The sequence below is a fragment of the Homo sapiens genome, chromosome 1 (genome assembly GCF_000001405.40).
Source record: "Homo sapiens chromosome 1, GRCh38.p14 Primary Assembly".
NCBI classification, from domain to species: Eukaryota; Metazoa; Chordata; class Mammalia; order Primates; family Hominidae; genus Homo; species Homo sapiens.
Window position 1 is genome coordinate 209806438 of NC_000001.11, and position 20352 is coordinate 209826789.

At 43.5% G+C, this 20352-nt stretch overlaps 2 annotated features.

Annotated features, from left to right (window-relative positions):
• Positions 9122-9291: an enhancer, noted in NCBI's record as "experimental_2681 CRE fragment used in MPRA reporter constructs". NCBI's record gives its function as "activates a minimal promoter by MPRAs in K562 erythroleukemia cells, with activity observed for the introgressed 1:209988989 variant allele {active_cell/tissue: K562}" and the evidence as "EXISTENCE:reporter gene assay evidence [ECO:0000049][PMID:34662402]".
• Positions 9268-10042: an enhancer, noted in NCBI's record as "VISTA enhancer hs932". NCBI's record gives its function as "enhancer in: limb[9/9] | branchial arch[9/9] | eye[6/9] | nose[7/9]" and the evidence as "EXISTENCE:transgenic organism evidence [ECO:0001131][PMID:17130149]".

Genomic DNA, 20352 nt, shown 5'->3' on the forward strand with positions numbered 1-20352 from the left:
CCATAATTACCCTGCAGTATGCAGACAGTTAAGCACAAATAAGGGTTTTGAGATTCTGGGTTGGCCCTACTACTCGTGGGCCTGTGTAAGTGGAGTTGCACATGAAGAAGAGAACCAGGACACTTGGTCCTGTCTGGGAGAAGCCATAGGCTTTCAGGACTAGAATTCTACCTTTACTCTGCCTCTTACCCGTGTGACCCTGGGTAAGTTACTTAGCTTCTTGGCTTCTTGGTTTCAGTTTCCTCATCTCTTCAATGAGAATAATAATTCCTTCCTTCTTTTTTGTTGTTGTTTGCTTTTTTCTCTTTCTTTTTTCTTCCTTTTTTTTTTTTTTTTTTTTTGGAGATGGGGTCTTGCTATTAAGTTACACAGTCTGGTCTGCAACACCTGGGCTCAAGGGATCCGCCTCAGCCTCGCAAAGTGCTGGGATTACAGGCACTGGCACCCAGTTCAATTCCTTTTTTTTTTTTTTTTTTTTTTTTTAGGCAGGGTCTGGCTCTGTCATCCAGGCTAGAATGCAGTGGCACAATCATAGCTCAACCTCCTGGGCTCAAGCAATTATCCCACCTCACCCTCCCAAGTAACTGGAAATATAGGCATGGGTCACCATGCCCGGCTAATTTTTTTTTTTTTTTTTTAGAGACAGGGTCTGACTATGTTGCCCAGACTGGAGTTCCTGCTTCCTCTGATCACTATCGTGTAATGAGTAAAAGCATAGCCTCTGGAGCCAACTATTGGGGTTTAGACCCCAACTCCATCAGTTACTACAGACTTGGGAAAGTTTCTTAAGCTTTTTAGGCCCTGGTGTCTTATCTGTAGAAAGAGGTTAGTAATAGTACCTACCTCAGGGGTATTGTGGGAATTCAATAACTACATGTAAACTGCTTGCAACAATATTTAGCACTTATCAAGTGCTTTATATGTACTTGCAATTATTATTGGCATAAAGATTAAAAATACCATATAGACAGTGCGTCAGAGAACAAGAAGGCATTCCTTGTTATTACCTGAAATTCAAGTCCTGCATGTACCCTAACAGGTGCTTGATGAGATTGCCCTCACCTTCCTCATCTATCTAGAGGACCGGTTTGCAGGAGGCTGTGCAACAGTAAATGAGACTTTTAAAAATCCCCCACCCTCAACCACTGAGCTGTCGTAGGTGAAATGGGGCATGCGCAGGTCACTTAGGTTTTGGTGTTTAAAGTAATGAGTGAGAAACTGTGGAGGAGTGGTACAATGAGTTGAACTGTCACCCACATACAAAAAAATTTGTATTTGTATTTTGAAGTCCTGACCACCCCCACTGCAACCACAGCCAGATGTCAGAATATGACCTTATTGGGAGACAGGATCCTTATGGAGGTAATCAAGTTAAAACGTGGTTATTAGGGTGAGCCTGAATCCAATATGAATGGTGTCCTTATAAAAGGAGGAGATTTGGACACAGAGGCAGATACCCACAGAGGGAAGGTGATATGAAGAGACATAAAGAGAAGACAGCTAGCTGCAACCCAAGGAGAGATACCTGGAATAGAGCTCTTTTTTTTTTTTTTTTTTTCACATCCCTCAGACCCTTGATTTTAGACTTTTAAACTCCAGAACTATGAAACAAAAAATTTCTGTTGTTCAAGCCACCCACTCTGAGGTACATTGTTATGGTAGCCCTAGCATACTCATACAAGTGTGTTGAAGAGCCCCAGATTGATAATAATGTAGGCATGATTCCAAGTCCCAATTTAGCTTTGGAATGTAGCCAGCAAAGGCCTGGGAAGGCAGCAAGGCCCCAAGGCCTGACTCAGCCAGCCTCTGTCTCAACCACTGCCCTGTGGCCACTCTTCCCTTCACTGGGGGAAGGGCAAGCTCATCAGCACAGCTAGCTGTTTACTGCTGATGAGCTCACTAGACAAACAGCATCTTCCATCTGGCCCAGGGCTGGGCTCTGGGGACCAAACAAGCTCCACTGCAGGTGTATGAGAGGGATGAGGGGTAAGGCCATTGGGAGAGTGTCATTTGAGGGGAGTCAAAACCCCAGTGGCATACAAGTATGAGCCCACACACAGGCACTCACTTTTGCACCAGCTGAAATTCCCATGACTAAGGGGATGTCTTAAGGACCTTCTTTAGAAGACATATATTTTGGAATCAGAAAACTCAAGCTGGGAGGGTTCTTCTGGACTATCTAGATCAAGACTAAAACTGACTTAGCCAGTTTTTACCCACACAGTATTTTAAATATCAGGAGGTATCACATAAACATCAAAATTCTCAGCATCTCTTAAAGAGTCAAGTGCCCTGGATGCTCTACCAGCAGTTCTACCTGGCAACAGTTGCCCATTTAGAGGGAGTCTACACGTTACAGCCAATACAAACTCACTCTATTGAGCTCACTAATTTACTTTAATTGCCTGACCCTGTAGGCATCTGATTGCAACTTCTAGTCTAAATTCTCCCTTTTCATAGATGAGAAAACTGCGGCCCAGCGAGGTCAAGTGATTTACTCAAGGTCACATGGCATATTAGCCACAAACCAAGACTAGAACACAAACCCGGGGCTCTATCCACTTGGACCCCTGCTCAGCTCCGCAGCCAAAGTCTATTCTGACCTGTTCTGCACTGGCTGTTAACGATTTAAAAAAAAAAATCGCCAGGTGCAATCGCTCACACCTGTAATCCCAGCACTTTGAGAGGCTGAGGCGGGCAGATCACCTGAGGTCAGGAGCTGGAGACCGGACCGACCAATATGGTCAACTCTACTAAAAATACAAAATTAGCCAGGCTTGGTGGCGCATGCCTGTAATCCCAGCTACTCGGGAGGCTGAGGCAGGAGAATTGCCTGAACCCAGGAAGTGGAGGTTGCGGTGAGCCGAGATTGCACAATTGCACTCCAGCCTGAGCAACAAGAGGGAAACTCCATCTCAAAAAAAAAAAAAAAAAAAATCACCCATGGATCTAGGTACTGTTGATATTGTTGATATTGCCATAAACAAAACCAAGTCCCTACTCTCATGTCACTCAACTGAAGAATTAATGAAAGGGGGTAAAGCAGGTGGAATTAAGGTAGAGATCAGGAGGAACTCCCCGGCTCTGCAGGCAACAAGCCCTGACAATAGGCCACCCTGATGTCTTCTATTCTGATACACGCCTCATCTGCTTGATCTGGGGAATAAGAACATCTTGTGAGTCTTTCCACAAGCTCTTGAGGAATCAGTTCTTCTGTATTCTCAAAAGAGCCTCTTCAGGATTCAGTCATTCCCAACATGCCCTGGGCCTGCAATGCTCCCATCATTTTGCCCTCCATTGATAATCAGGTGCGGCATTGCTGACTCACTAGTGAGTCTGAGTTTCAGGTAGTGGGACGTACATTTCAGCACGGGGGCCCTGATTCACAGCCACAGGGAATGAGGGAATTCCCCTCTCCTGTTCCCAGTCAGCTCTCATTTGGTAGGAAAGAGTTTCTTTTTCCACCCAGAGACTTTAAACTCTACAATATCAGACATGTGACAATAAAACCATGAACCCAAATCCCACTCTCTTCTTGGCAGAGCAGAAAGCGTGGCAACTGGGACTCCTCCCAAAGGCTCCATACAGTGGAGAGTTTAGTGTTACTGGAGTTGGTGATAGCAAAGAAGCTGTGCACCTTTGGTGGAGTTGCTAAAGAGTCAGGTAGGGACATTGCACTAAACAATCCAATTCTGTGCTTTCAAAGGAAATCAGACTCCAACCTTCCTTCTGGAAGGCATTCTGGAGCCCATCAGGTCTACCCTCACTTTTCTCTTGGCCCTGGCTTATCTCTGTCTCCATCCAAGTATCTTAAAGCATCAGGGCCACAGGTGATCCTAACACATTGCCTAAGCCACAGCCTAAACTGAATGCACTCTGGTTGTTGCACTCTATAATGGCCTCCAAATTCTAGAATCACCAAGATGGCAGGAAGCATAAAAGAATCTCACTTTCCAATCCAAGCAATGGCACAGACTTTGGCTTTGGACTCTAGAAGAATTCTCCACCAAAGTGTTCAGAACATCTTCTGAGTCTTTCCATAGTTAGAAGACCCTTTTTATCCTTGAAGCAAGCTGAGCACTGGAAAGTGTTCTCAAAGAAGCAGTTTTTTTTATTCCAAACTTGGATCTCTATGGGAGGCGAAGGAGGAAAAGCAAAGCCCAGGAAATTATTTGGAAGTAAGCTCCCCCTTGGGGCCCTCCCTTCATTCTTCTGCCCATTCATTCCAAAGCTTGAGGGTCCACTTCCCATCTTCCCCAGCATGGAGAGCTTTCTCATTGGCTCTGCAGACAAAAGAGCTGAAGAAACTACAACCACCATGAATGTGAGAGTTCAGAGTTCTGATTCAAAGCTGCTTCCCCATTGAGACAAAACAGTGGCCGGATTTTGGCTTCATGGTCAGCACCAAACAACCTATCCTGTGACTCTATGCTGCTTTGAAATGAGATAGTGGATATGGACGCTCTCTGAAACAGGTGGAGTGCTGTGCAGATGGAGCGACCATCACTGCTGTTATCTGCTCTTTGTTTCCTTTGTGTAGATAATTCTCTCCAGGCTTCAGTCAAGCCCTAAGGGCAGCAAGGTGCAGGCCAGACAGGAACTAGCAGAGTGTTAGGCTCAGTTTGAGCTACAGAGCACTGGACAATGTGTCGATTTCAGAAAATGAAGACTCCAGGAGTACAGAATCTTCGGGGAGCAGTGTGGCAAGAAGCTGGATTCCTGTTCAATATGAGTGATTAACCAAATGTGCTTTTCTCTTCTCCCACCCCCCACCACCCCAGATCACCTCAGGTGATCAATGACAGTGAAGGAATTTTTTTAAAACATATTAATCTATAAGGTTAAGAGATGACAAAAAGCATGAGAGTCGAGATAAGAATGGATGAGAGAGCTCAACAAAAATAATAGGAGACAAAATATTATTTCAACAAAAATAGGATGTGTGTGGGGGCTGATGATTTGGTTATAAAGCTTTCAGTCCTATTTGGTTAAATCTTAAAGCAGATTTATATACTATTTAACGAAAATATTATCATTACTTGTTTTCAAGAAAGAAGAAAGAGCACTTGGGGAGTCAGGAGACCTGGGTGTCAGACTATTCTCTGGCACTCCATGACAGCAGAGCTGCATCAGAAAAACTAACTGTGATTTGGAATGAGTCAAAATTTGTCTCCAGTTTCCCGTCTCTCATTTCCTAACTGTCCAGGCAGTCTGAGCCTCAGTTTACTCACCTCCTAAATGAGAATGCTGCCTATTTCATGGGATTGACAATAGGATTCAATGAAATAAATAAAACAATACCACATCTTAGAAAATATCATTCTTCTCTATTGCTGCATCCCCCTCCCCAACTCTAGGCAAGGATGTGGCACAGTTCAGGGCACCTGGTATTCACTTAATTAAAACCTGCAGTGTTACTGTGTATTTGTTCTTGGGACAGCGAGGACACAAAGTATCTCTTCTCTGCTGATTGGATTAAGAGCAAGGCCCAAGTGTGACTCTCAGAGCCTAGTGAAGAATTCCCTTGAGGAGATATGGCTAAGGGACAGGGAAGACAGGGTAGAAACCAGAAGTTCTTTGACCAAGTAGCAGCCCCACCCTTCACCCCTCCACTGTCAGAATGTTCTCTTCATGTAGTCCAATGCTCAGCCTCAACCTATACTGGCCTCCTATCCAATTACCCTGGCCTTCTGTGGAAAAAGGTAAAGATGGTTTCCATGGGGAGTTCCACTCTCTTGAGTGGCTCTGGACTGGCCAGGGAAGGCCTAAGGACTACCTGCCACACTAATTTCTCCACATTGCCTAAAATTCCAGTTGCATAACATTCAAAAAGGTGATTCTATCTGGTCCCTGCCCCAGACACTGACAGCCTAAACCCCACCTCAATTTCTACAGCTTGAATCTCAGCTTTGTCCAAGCTAAGCTTGGGCCTAAGAAGTGGCTAGATGCTACAGAGGGTTAGCCCAGTCAAAGAAGAAAGGGGAGATGTATATATAAATAAGAGATTTTCAATAACAATCTCATGTAACCCCTGACCAGGAGAGCCCCAAAGTCAGGAGCAAATAGGATTTTGGTTTTTCTAAGACAGACCAAGACCAGGGCCCTGGGTCTACCTGACATGAGACACAAACATCATTCCTTCATTCACCCTTCAGTAAATCTTTATTGAGCACTATACACCAGAAGAATCCCCACCCTTTTGAAACATATTGTCTCCTGTTCCTATGAAAGCCTTCTGTTTAAACTTTCACATATGTGCCCTTCTGCTATAGTGACTACCTCCCAACTCCCAGCTTTCAGCCCCACTCCAATCTATTCTACAGCCCTCTGTGAGCTCCAGTCCCATCACTGTCCTGCTCAAAAACATTCTGTGATTTCCTAATGCTTACTGAATCAAGAAAGCTTATTCCCTCATCCAACAAATGCTTATTGTTTATCTACTATGTGCCAAATTTCTGTTCTAGGTGCTGGGGACACAGCAGTGAGCAAGACAGACAAAAATTTCTGCCCTCGTGGTGCTTATATTCTAGCTGGGGAGACAGGCAATAAACAAGTAAAGTATGTAAGTCCATGGCAAGTTCTAAGAAGGACAAGGGGGCAACTGAAAAAGATTAGGAGGGGGTGGAGTGGATCCAAATTTTACGTGGACTAACCAGGGAGAAGATGACATTTGAGTAGAGCGCTAAGAATGTGATGGAGTCAAGTGGGTATCAGAGGGAAGATTATTCCAGAAAGAGGGCCCGGCAAGTAAAAAGCCCCAGGGCAGGAATATACTTGCCCCACTAAAGGACCAGCAGGGAGGCCAGTGTGGCTGGGGCAAGGGGAGAGTTGGAGGTGGGGCATATGAGGTCTGAGAGGTAACAACTTTTACTCTGAGAGTAAGCGGGAGTCACTGGAGGCTTTTGAGCAGAGGAGTGACGTAGGTAACTTGTTTTGCACAATTAATCTGGCTGCTGTGCTTAAGCTAGAAGGTAGAAAAAGGTCAGGCAGAGAGAGACCAGTTAGAAGGCCCCTCTCTGGCCCTAGCCTACTTTTCCAACCATATCTTCTACCATTTTGCTACCCTTCAACCATAATAAATTTGTCTTCCTTGAATATGCTTTGCATCTGCTGATCTACCATCTTTAATGAAGTTGCCTCCATTTGGAATATTAATAACAACAGCTGGAACAATAGCTACTGCTTAATAAGCATTAATGACCATTCAAACACTTTTCATGGTTATCTAAGTTCATTTACAGACATCTTTTTTAATGTTCATATTTTGTTCCCATTTATTGAGAAAGCTGAGGCTTTTTACAAATTGTGACCAGCTGGAGGGCCCCGTGCCCAATCAAACATAGGATGTAGAGCCATTGATGGCCTTTTGGTCTCAAGTGGACCATTTCCATCTTTGAGGATCTTCACATGACCCTCTGAGTATTTTCTCAGCAGAAGTCTTCACAAAAGGAGAGGGGAATGTTTAAGATGATCCTTAAAGTTCAGTAACCATTTTCTAGATAGAAAAGGAGAACCAAAAAAAGCATTTCAGGCAAAGAGGATAATATTATAATAGTTCAGCAGTACCTCATGGGATAGTCAGGAAACTGCAGTTTGCTGAAGTGTAGCATTTGCAGGGATCGATTAGGCAGGAAACAGAACTGGAAGGAAGGCCTTGAATGTGACATCAAAGAGTTGGACTTTCTCCTCTTTACAGTGAGGGGCATTGAAAAGTTTTGGGTAAAAAAACAAAAATATTGTTTAGGTTGGGCAAGGTAAGAGTGTCTAGAAATGGTGAGGACTGTGGCTACCTGGAAAGCGTGCTTTCTTTCTAAAAGAAGCAGCCACTAAGCTCTGGCTGACGGCTGCCGGACAGAAATACAGGTCCAATGTTGCCACTGGGAAATCTAGATTTTTTATGTAAAATCTACTAATTTTTTATACATTTGCATTTTTTAACTTTTAATTACATGAGCCATATAAAACACCCCACAGGAGCTGCCATTTGGGGGCTTCTTTCCTGGAGTATGAATTAGCTCCAAGAGGACAGAGGCTTTGTCTGTGCTACTGTGTTCTCAGGGCCTCTCACACACTAGGTGTTCAACGTATCTTTGCTAAATGCATGTGTGTGGGTTAGTGATAGCATTTCTATTTTATTCTTGAGGAAACTAAGGCCCATAAAGGATAATCCCCAGGATCACATGAGAAGTGGTCAAGCTCAAGTTCAAGTCCAAATCCCTGAACTTCGAAATAGGCAAGTGGATTTGCAAGAGACATAGAATAAGAGTAGGAAGAGTGCTTCATCAGACCCTTCTATCGCCCCCTATCCCAGGGCTGCTCCCACATGTTACCAATGTCCTGTGCATGACTCCACCCGGTTTTCAATCCCCTGGGAAACTTTTGATCCTTCTGAGACTGTTTTACCCCTCTTATTTTGTTCAGGCCCAAGAATCAGAGACAAGGCTGCCTACACACCACCTGTCCCTCCCCAGCACAATGACATCTGCATACTATTGAGCTGCTGCTAGCAGTAGCAGTTTCTCCTGGGCCTTTCGAATCCAAAGAAGGACCCATCAAGACTACGCTGGCCAGGTGCCTTGCCAGCTTAATTCCCTGGGGTAGCCAGGAAGCTTCAAAGCTCTTGTCTGCTCTAGTTCACTATTTACAAAACACTATGAGAAGAGCTGGGCACAGCTGCTGCAGAATAGAAATGGAAGGTGGTAGGGAAACAGTAGACCTAGCAAAGGGGTATTTGAGGAAATACAGTACCAGCACTGGAGGCTTCTAAAATAAGAGTCAGTCCTTTGAGTGGAAATGGCCAAAGTAAATAAATAAATAAATGTTTTTAAAAGTAAAATAAGAGTCATAATTTCTACTAAGTCCTACTCAGTTGAAATAAAATAGATACTTCCTTTCTTCCTCCCTTCCTTTCTCTCTTCCTCTAGTTAGCCAGTTACTCAATAAACATTTAATAAAGAACTTCAGTGTTCCACATTCTTCATAACTGCCAGGTAATGATTTAAATGGTGCCCATGAGCTAAGTGTATGATACTTAATTCATGCACTTCTGATTTATTAAGAAAGGAGAAGGAGGGAAGGAAACACTAGCATGTTTTACCAACTATGGCTATTCACAGGGGGAATGTTGTTATTGTTCTTGTTCCCCAATACAAATCTAAGAGTAATTTACCTATGTTAGCTTTTCTGGAATTGTTCCAGAATCTTGCGCTTTGAAGGAAAAGTTGTGGCTGCGTATTCTGCCCCTCTCTGTTTGGAAATCCCCTGCACAGCTTTGCCAGCTACTCAGCTTGGTTCATCAGGGGATTTTTTAAAAATTTAGTTTTTAAGAGTTTTATCCAAGGTCTCAAAGCTGGTAAATGGTGAGTAGGAAGTTGATTCTGCCCGATCTGTCTGACTCCATGCCCTTTCTATTAGGTCATGAAGGGGAACCTGAGGATTGGAGCTTTGGAATGTTAATCTTACCCAAAGGCCTGAAGTAATACCCCAGAATGTGAACATGTGTGACCATCTGCCTGTCCTGGGGGTGGGAAGAAGGCAGCATGCTCTATCCTTGACCCTGATTGAGCCCAGGGGCTGAATCTGGAGCTTTGGGGCCTGGGAACCTCTCTACCTGCGTCAATGTCTGGAGGCCCTGAGAGTTTCGCTCAGGCTCAGAGCAGGCATCGCAACCTCCCAGTTACTATTCTGTGCTGTGGCAAGTGCCAGCTTGTCCTCTCTTCCCCACCCAGCCCGGGAAACCGGCAGCATTTCTAGTTCAGGCCCAGACCCGTCCTGGCAGCCTGGATTCCACTGCCTAGGCAGGAAGCTCATCTCAGCCCAGTGACCTTTTCTCTCTGTTTTTTGTCACAGAGGAATTTCCATGCCAGCAGTATGGGGCAATGGGGGTGGGTGGCCAAAGGTTTCCCCCTTAAGCCACAAGAGCCATGGAGTGGAGGTAAGCTAAGCAAACAGAGGAGGAAGGATGGGAGGGAAGGATCAGGAAGATTTAGAGAGTCCATTCCTCAGGCTGCTTCATCCTCAAATTCCAAGGTAAATAAAGGTGTTGGGAAGGATGCACTATATGTCCAGCTGCCCAGCCCTGAAGATCCTCCCCCTAGAGAACTGAGACAGGAGTTTTCTCACATTCCCACATGCAGGAGGGAAAGAGGCTGGGCCTGGGCAGGTCTAGAGAGTTCTGTTCCCCTGCCCCAGGGGAACACGCCTAGGCTTGCTGACCTCTCAGGTAGGAGTCTGTCAGGTTGGAAGCTGGGCCTCTCATTGTGTGTGTGTGTGTGTGTGTGTGTGTGAGAGAGAGAGACACGTGTGTGTGTGTGTGTGTGTGAGAGAGAGAGACACGTGTGTGTGTGTGTGTGTGTGAGAGAGAGAGACACGTGTGTGTGTGTGTGTGTGTGTGTGTGTGTGTGTGTGTGTGTGTGTGTATTGGGGGAGAGAAGCATATAGGATAGGGTGGCCAGATTTAGCAAATAAAAATACAAGATGCCCAGTTAAATGTGAATTTCAGATAAACAATGAATACATGAATACACTAAACAATTATTTGTTGTTTATCTGAAATTCACATTTAACTGGGGATCCTTGATTTTACTGGCAATCCCAATAAAGGGAGTCGGGGCTTGAGGGAACTGGACTGAGGCTGGCACGCCCATTCCTTTGCCTCTCTGATTTCAGTGAGGTAGGGCTAATTCCCAGACATATACCCCTGCCTTGACCTGCTCCTAACCTTGAAGCCAGAGAATCCCTTAGACATTGGCTTTTCAGGGCATACACGGGCCCCAACCCACATAGCTAGGGCTCCTTTGACTTCAGTTCTCAAACTCCAGAGACTTTCATGACAACTGTTAATGCTCCATCCTGGAGCCCCTTTGAAGATGAAAAGCTCTCCTGAGAAGTGGAGTGCTCTGTTGTTGTAATTAACATAATTAAAAGCAATTTGTCTCATAGTCCCATAGGAAACTGGGGGACTTCCCTTCTTGTATGAAATCCCCACCACACTCTCCCAGGAGATGGACACCACTTCTAACCCAAGCCTAGCCCCAGTCCCTGTTCCCACCCCATTCTGACTTAGATATAGAGGTTGTTTCATATTTTTTGTTTGTTTCACCTTTCAGATGATTCTTCATCAAAACAGGGCACCCAGATCTCCAGACACAGGACCCCATCTCTCCTGTTTGTGTCTGCTTTCCTGGGTTGAAAACACCTCGTGAATGGTAAATCCCAAAGCTTTACCATTTCAACCTTAGCTCTGCACCCAGTCAGAAAGGATGTCCGCTGCTGTGGTCTTACCTCTCATCCCACATGCCCTGACCACTAGAAGCAAATGCTTCCTTGATTCCAAGAGTCAGGCTGTGGCTGTGCAGAGTGACCAGGCAAAGAACATGTAAGCATTACTCTGCTAAAGCAGCTTGGTCATGCAATGGTAACCAGGGTAGGAAAGTTCATGTCCAGAAGCCCTGCACAGAGTCTGTTGTCTTAATTATTTCTAGGAGTGCATCCTTCTGCATTCCCCAAGGAGATGATAAACTCTTCCACAGAAAGAGCTGCAGCATTTCATTCCCCAGTGGCCCAGCATAGAGAAGATGTTGTGTTACTAATTGGGTTGGGCCAAATTAATCTATTCCTGATAGGCCAAAGAAGCATCTCTGTCTCTTTCTGGGTTTCCAGGGCTCTTACCAGACAGCTCTGGGGTTTCCTGGCATACCTACAATGTGATTAGAATTTGGCCTGTTGTGATTGTCAAAATGGGCCAGGCATGGTGGCTTATGCCTGTAATCCCAGCACTTTGGGAGGCCGAGGCAGGTGGATCACTTGAGGTCAGGAGTTCGAGACCAGCCTGACCAACATGGTGAAACCCTGTCTCTACTAAAAATACAAAATTAGCCAGGCACGGTGTCGGGTGCCTGTAATCCCAGCTACTTGGGAGGCTGAGGCAGGAGAATTGCTTGAACTCAGGAGGCAGAGATTGCAGTGAGCCAAGATCATGCCACCACACTCCAGCCTAGGCAACACAGTGAGACTCTCTCTCTCAAAAAAAAAAAAATCTAGACTATGATCATGGCAAGTTAGCAAGAGGCTATAAAATTTATCTGTCACTCAGAATCTATTTTTTAATACCTTTATGTTGGTTGTGCTTTAGATTCTCTTGGAAAATCATGAGAGGGAAGAGCCCTAGAGTGCAGAGGAAAGCACTCTGAGGGCTTGGTCTTTAAAGTTTGCTCCTCTCCCCGCAACATACACACACACACACATCCATGCATCCACACACACGCACACCTTCATCTGGGAGCAGCAGAGCTAGCTCTTCCCCACCCATTTTCTCTTTCATTCAGTTTAACTTAATAGGAACTGAGGCTTAGACAGCAAATAGTGCTCAATAACAATAATCATAGCCCGAATTGAGCATAACTGACCTGGCCTCTTTGAGATTCAGGGTTACCAGAACATGTCATTAAGGGATTCTCTGACAGAGGCTCAATGACAGACAGTGGTGAAAAGCCCTCTGAAATAGCTTCACCATGAGAGAGGAGACTCTGGACGGGTGACAGAGGGCCTAGAACCCATCAGACGGGGAGTTGGTTCTGGAAACAGCATGCAGCTGACACTGACACCTCCTTCCAACCCATTCACCTGACCCTATGGGACTGCTAGGGAAATGGCTAGCACTTGTGAACTGAAGAGTTTGGACCCTAAAGAGCTGTGCCATTGACAGCTAGTCCTGCATGGCAGACATGAAGCAGAGTATCACAAGTTACAGGGACCCGGGAAAGAAGAAAGGGGAGAATGGGGGAGAATGTCTGCTTTTGCCTCCTGGAACACAGCCAGATTTCAACAGCAACTACTCAAGATGAGGGTAATCAGGACTGACCCTTTGGACTGGGTTAGCATTTTTGAGAGACTTGGCCAAACCAGGGGAAAGAATGGACTTCCTACTAATCTAACCCTATAGAAGCTCAGCCTCACTGAGAATCCCACATTAAAAGAAACTCAGTCCTTTTCATTAAAGACTGAAACACAGAGACAACTTTTAAGAATGATTATTCTTAAAATAGCATATCCTACTTAGGAAATAAACCTTAACTATCTTTTCTTGGGAAAAAAAGTCTAGAGTCTTCACTTTTTAAATCAGGAATACAGAATTCTCAGGATTTCCTTTCCTTTAATGATTTTTAAAGTGTTTTTGTTTCTTGAAGAGCCAACATGGGTTTGAGGGTATATTCCTGTGTGGTTGAGAAAAAAATTTCTCTTTGTATTCCAGCAGACAATGTCCAGACCTGGCCCAGGCTGCCCTCATCTCTCTTAGCACTAGAACCTGTCCTGTCCCAAATACATTCACCGTCATCTACCTTAGCCATCAAAGGAATTACAGTTACAGTTACTTTAGGGCTGGAGAACAAAATTATCCAACATTTATCTGGCTCCCAAATCCCTAATTGTGTCTTCAGATAGAGCTAGAGGAGCTATTAGTTAGCAGAATAAGGGCAATACTATTCCACTGCATTCAACACTGAATTACAACCAGTTTTGCAATCTGCCTTTGTGGAATTTCCAGTGCAAGAATTTATAATAAACTCATGAAAGGACTCTTTATTTTTTTTTTTTTGAGGTGGAGTCTCACTCTGTTGCCCAGGCTGGAGTGCAGTGGTGTGACCGTGGCTCACTGCAACTTCTGCCTCCTGGGTTCAAGTGATTCTCCTGCCTCAGCCTCCTGAGTAGCTGGGATTGGGATTACAGGCACACACCACCACATCTGGCTAATTTTTGTATTTTTAGTAGAGACAGGGTTTTGCCATGTTGGCCAGGTTGGTCTTGAACTCCTGACCTTAAGTGATCTGCCTGCCTCAGCCTCCCAAAGTGCTGGGATTACAGGCGTGAGCCACTGCACCCAGCTGAAAGAACATTTTTAGTTATAAATTTTATTTCTAAAAATTTTAGTTCTAGCCAGAATGAATGCTTAACTAAGAAAGTAAGAAGAAACAAAAAAGTACAAGAAAATGATAGAAAATCTTGTTCATGAGAAGTGGGTATGGTTGTTAAAGTAAATATGAGAAAAGCTGGTGTTTTAGGGGCTTCACTGTCTAAAGAAGAAAAGCTGCCCCCAAAATGGAAGGTAAATAACTGCCCAAATAAAACATTAAAATCGCTGAAGCCTACCACACCAGATGTAATAGTCTCAGGGGTTAAGGCTGGGATGTCAAAGTTACACCAGGGAGTGATTTGGTAACAGCCAAAAGGCAGAGAACATTGATTTGGGCTAATAGGCAATTATAGACTCAGTTTCATTCAAGATTGTAATTCCTAACTGAATTTTTTTAAAAAGCAGGACCACAATCTGTACCCTTGGGATTTTTTACCCTTATTTCTCCCCCTCCAAAAATAAACAAATTCTTGTAAGCCATCACATAAATTAATCAACGGTGCTCAGAAGAGTCGTGATTTTCTTGGGCAAAATGGCACATAACAGGCAAAAAAGAAAAAAAATGCGTCATATGTAAGTCAGGCCACCTTAGGCTGGACTAATGACTCCCTCCTCTCTGTTCCCTCAGTGATGGCTCACACTTTCATGAGAGAATTTATCACACTGTGATGTTGTGGAGAATCACTGGCTTCTATGACTGCTCCCTTTCTCTGGACTGTGAGCTCCCTGAGGCCAGAGACTTTGTTTCATTCTTTCACATAAATTCCCTTGGCACTTAATATATCCCCGGAGTGCAGTGGTACAGAATCAACGATTACTCAGCAAACAAACACTCCCCAGGTTCTGTACTGCACCCAGTCCCCTGTATGAGGTGTAAAAGTCATTTAGCACTAATGCGTCACTAGGATTTGAATCCAGATCGATGTGAGTCCAGCATCCTCAGTCTTAACTCTTTTGTAAACCTGCCTTTCCTAAGAAGGATCAGTCCATAAATGGGAGACAACACCAGCTTTCCTCTTCCCCCAGTGGCTGCTCTGCCTTAGTCACCTTGCTGGTTCTTCTTCATCTGTCCTGTGTCTTAAATTCGCAGCTACCCCAGGGCTCAGTTTTCAGGCTTCTTCTCTATATTTATACTAAGTAATCTCATTCAGTCCCAATCATACACTGACCACTCTCAGATATGCTTGGTCATCCTGGCAGCCTGGACCTCTCTCCTGAACTCCAGATGTGCCACATGCCTGGACCTTTCCACTTAGATGTCTAAGGGGAATCTATCTATAGCTTAATATGTGAATTGAATTATCTGGACATCGGCTGGGCATGGTGGCTCATGCCTATAATCCCAGCACTTTGGGAGACCAAGGTGGGTAGATCACTTGAGGTCAGGAGTTCGAGACCAACCTGGCCAACATGGCGAAATCCATCTCTACTAAAAATACAAATAAAAAAAAAATTAGCCAGGTGTGGTGGTGCACGCCTGTAATCCCAGCTACTCGGGAGGCTGGGATGGGAAAAGCATTGGAACCAGAGAGGCAGAGGCTGCAGTGAGCTGAGATCACATGACTGCACTCCAGCCTGGGCAATAGAGTGAGACCCTGTTTCAAAAAAATAAATAAATAAATAATAAGAATTATCTGGGCACTTGTTGGGCAGATGGATGCAGTGTTTCTGAGCCCGCAGGGATAAAGGGAGAACATAAGAAGTTAAGAGCTGTGGAGAGCTGGACCCTTGGGTTCACCCATGTGATTCCATCATATTATAACCATATTCGCATAGTGACCAGCATGGATAGTGTGGATTTCATGGATGTTTCTGGTAAACTGAACTCATTACAGTCTCAAAATATGATAATTATACCAGGAGAGACTTGAGATCCTGGTTTCAATAAACGCTGAGAAGTAGGAGGAAGCACTTGGTAAACATATGAAAAAGTCTTCAAAGTCGCCCTGGCTGGAATGCAGTGGCACAATCTTGGCTCACTGCAACCTCCACCTCCCAGGTTCAAGCGATTTTCGTGCCTCAGCCTCCCAAGTAGCTCGGACTACAGGCACATGCCACCACGCCCAGCTAATTTTTGTATTTTTAGTAGAGATGGGGTTTCACCATGTTGGCCAGGCTGGTCTTGAACTCCTGATCTCAATTAATCCACCCACCTTGGCCTCCCAAAGTGCTAGGATTGCAGGCATGAGCCACAGCGCCCAGCTGAAAAAGTCTCCAAAGTCATGGTGGGCAGCATCCAAAGCAAACTAATTGCTCAGGTAAGGCATCAGAAAGGAAGGTTTAATAGCCTTGGCACCCACACCAGACATCCTTGTGATTTCTCTAAACTCCAAATCTGATCACATAACTTCCTTGCTTGAAATCCCTTATCAGCTCGTCACCTTTTATGGGATTGGATGTCAACTTCTCCGCAAGGCATCCAAGGCCTTTCATGGACTGGCTCCTCACCTGCCTGCTCTCTAACCCCTCCTGTCCTGCCCGTCCACCTCAGTGACGTGGACCACTGCAGTTATCCAAACACGTCTCTATACTTTTGTTCATGCTATTGCCTCTACCTGGAATTCTCTCTTCCTATTTATTCACCCAGGAAACCCTGACTCAGCCCATCCTCTGTGCAGTTCCCCACAAACTTTTCCCTCTTCTCCACGGCAGAATGAGTTTCTTTATCCTCTGGGTTCCTTTAACCCTTTTGTACGTCTTTTAGCCCATGACAATGTCATTCTTTGTTAATTGCTTTGTCTCTCAACTAGACTCTGAGGTCTTCAAGGGAAAAGTCTGATGTTTGAGCTTTTTAAATCCTTCATGCCCAGTGTCATTCTTGGAACACAGTAACTGCTTAGAAAATGCTTGATAAAATGAATGAATGTATGAACAGCTGAGCCCTTGCCGCAACAGACGAAAAATAGTATGTAGTTATACCAACGTCCCACTAGAGGGAGCAATGCAAAACTTGATGCCCTCTAACAGCATTTAAGGCTTGTTCTCAACTAAAGTAATACGATAAAATATTTTCCATTTTAAGCTAAACCTAATGTAAATCAATCCCTGATACACCTGATGAAACATATTTATAAATGTTCACTATATTCCAGGTTCTGAGTTTCACAGTGGATACTTCTTATGGGTACAGATGAATGGAAAGGGCAGGGGACATATGTACTCATATTTTGTATTTTTATGTTATGTAGCGTGCATCACAAAGCTTTGCTCTTCGCAGACATAATCTCACTTCTAAAGTCTGCTCCACCTAGAAGCTTATTGCTCCACGTACAATAAATTCTGTGGAATCCGATGACTACACAGCTTCTTAATTTCCTATTGTCCTATATCCGTCATATCCTGTCTTGAACACACACACTTACTGTGGATGAGGTCAGGAAACACAACTCATACAGCCTCATATCTATAATTTCGATCAATTTTGAGTTCAATACTAGTGTTCAATGAATGTGTCTGGCTGACACATGCTCAGCCTGAGACCAGCATCCCCCCACCTGAGTAAATGTGTCCTTGCAGATTCCTTAGCATCCAGCATTGTTCAGTTCAGCATTCAGCACAGCGTATTGTAATTGTCTGTGTACTTACCTACACCCAGACAAGACTGTGAACGCCCTGAGGAGACTAGCATGATCTTATTCTTTCTCCTAGCTTTGGCTGCCAGCACCTAAGTGTTAGGTAAATATTTTTTTAAACAAGTAAGCTAATTCCATAATTTTATAAGGTAGTGAGAGAGTGATTTCTGCCAGCAGTCTCGGGAAGAGGCTGGATTGCTTTGGGTCTGTACACAGACATGCGTGTATACATGTTGTAGAAGAGCTGGTCTTGTATGTAGGAAACTGTCTACTTTAAGGCTACTAGGAAAGCACACACACACACACACACACACACACACAAAATCCTTCCCTAGAATCTTCCCAAATCAGAAGCTGAGGTGTCTGACTTTCACCATTAGAGAGTCATACCTTTGGATATACATGGCTTCCTCTCAACATATCTTGAAACTATGTGACCTTGTTATCAAAAAAAAAATAAATCTCAAACATCCCCAGCATCTGAGATGTATCCTCAAGCAGTGTTCCCCCTAGCTCTGTTGAGAATCTCAGATAGACCCTCTGCTTACTTTCTGTATTTTGCATTATAAAGTGACTGACTTGTGTCTTTAAATATTTATAGCTATATGTCAAGTAAGTACTTTCAAATTATATATATCATGATATTTACAATTAGAATATATCAATTTGTAGAACTCCATGAATTCATAATGATACTAAAAATAAAAACCAAAACTTAATTGGCCACCATTAAATCTAGTGATCAACTTCTTACCTTGAAAATTGGCAAATGAAGGGAAAGAATCAAGCATTTATTCTTTCCTATATAAACTGTACCACTGGGTAACCAAAATTTAATTAAGGTAGAAATTTGTCTTCACAACAAGAATTCAGCAACTAAGTAAAGAATAAATGACAGAATCAGAGTATCACTCCCTGAAATAGAATTATAATGTATTCATGAATTAATGAATTTAGACATTGAGCATCAATGTCTGGTAACATCACAGAAAGAAAGGCAACCAGACATCATATGCCTTCTGATGGAAGTACAAAATACCAAGTATAACAAAGTGTGATCAAACTTCTAGATCCAACAATCAATTCATAAGAAATATAGAGAAGAGCATAACATGTTAAACCAACAAAGTATTTTTAAAAGACAACATTTATGAGACAATCAAAAATGTGAACACTGGCAGTATATATGATTATATTAAACAGTTAACTTCAGTGTTTTTTAGGTTGGATAATGCCATTGAGGCTACATTAAAAAAACCCTTAACTTTTAGAAATGCACACTAAAATATTTACAGATGAAATAATATGATGTTTGGGATTTGCTTCAAAAATAATGCAGAGTAGGGACAGGGCAGTGGTTGGGCATATAAATGAGACAAGATGGCCTTGAGTTGACAGTTGCTGAAGCTGGGCAATAGGTATATGGGAGTTCATTCTCCCATTTTGTCTACTTTTGTATACACTTAAAATGTGCCATATAAAACATTTTTTTCTTTTAAATTATTAACTGATTCCGAAACATTCTGATATTCTTGTCCTAAGGGATAGCTATCCTTCTCCCACTCCTTGAGATCATTATCCTAGAGAATCTTCTGGAAATTGCAAATATCCCAAGGAAAGTAACTTGTTAATTCATTAACAGCTATCTGTAAACTAATACAGAGGGTTATTTCCTGGACTGCCTTTAACACTGAAAATATGGAGTTCCTGTGAGTAGAAGTAAAAGAAAACGTTGGGGGAGGGAAACGGAAGGGCAGAGGGAGGGAAAAAGAAGAACAAATTTTGTCTTCATTACAGTTTTCCTAAGGCCTTCATTTGTTGGCATATACATCATCGTTGTGCAGGTTTTACTAAGAGAACTTTCACGGGGGGGCGGGGCGGGGAGAAATGCTTACATTCTTGGCTCTTAGGTTAAATTTTCACAAAGGATCCCTTTTTATGTTGTCAAAGGATAATATAAATATTTTTAGGACAAAAAGGGCTTCTTTTTCCATGACCCAGTGAGCCAATGATGAGACTGCTTGGGTGGGGCTAGGGTAAATTTTTACCTGAACCTGAGAACCGTCTAGACCTGTACACAAGACCACAAGGGTGTGGAAACCGGGAGAGTAAGAGTCACCTCAAGTGCTTGAGAATATAGCTTTCATAGAAGATCTCTGGAAGAACACCAAGAAAGTGGCTGCCTCTGGGGAGGGAAACTGGGGCACTTGGGATATGTTGGGAGGGGGAAAAAGGATGGCTCTTTATTGCTATAGCCAAGTTATACTGTGGTCAGCACCTTAAAATATATGATGACATCTTGCAAACAGGCTTTTGTTGACCTAAGTGACTGTACCTTTTATCTTGAAATTACATAGAAGACAAATGGCTATTTATGGGTTCCTTGGCTGGCCCAGCTGCTGGGCACCACCCGCTCTGTTTGCATGTGTTCCTCATATTCTCCGGCCCTGTCCTCCCATCCCCACCCCAGCCTCTCCGAATCTAATTAGGAATAGTAGATGGTCACTAGAACTGACAAGAATCGCATTCTAATGGTTTTATTACAACTTCTATGGTGTGACACAGTATCAGGGAAAACCCAAATTTCCCACAGTAGCACTCCAATAGCAGAGCTATTATTTTGCTTCTCATTTCTCTCATTTTGGACGCTCCTGTTTTACCGTAAATATTCAAGTGAATTCTGCGGCTTATGATTTAAGCACTCTGTTTCTATAGAACATGGTAGCATAAGTTACTATTAGGAAAAGGATCTCACCATCTTTATCCTGTGGTCTCAAGCAGCCCTGCACACTTGCAAATCCCTAGAATACTGAGTCTACTTTTATATTTTTGCTTTTTCCTGTTTATTTAGGTGTTATTTAAATACAT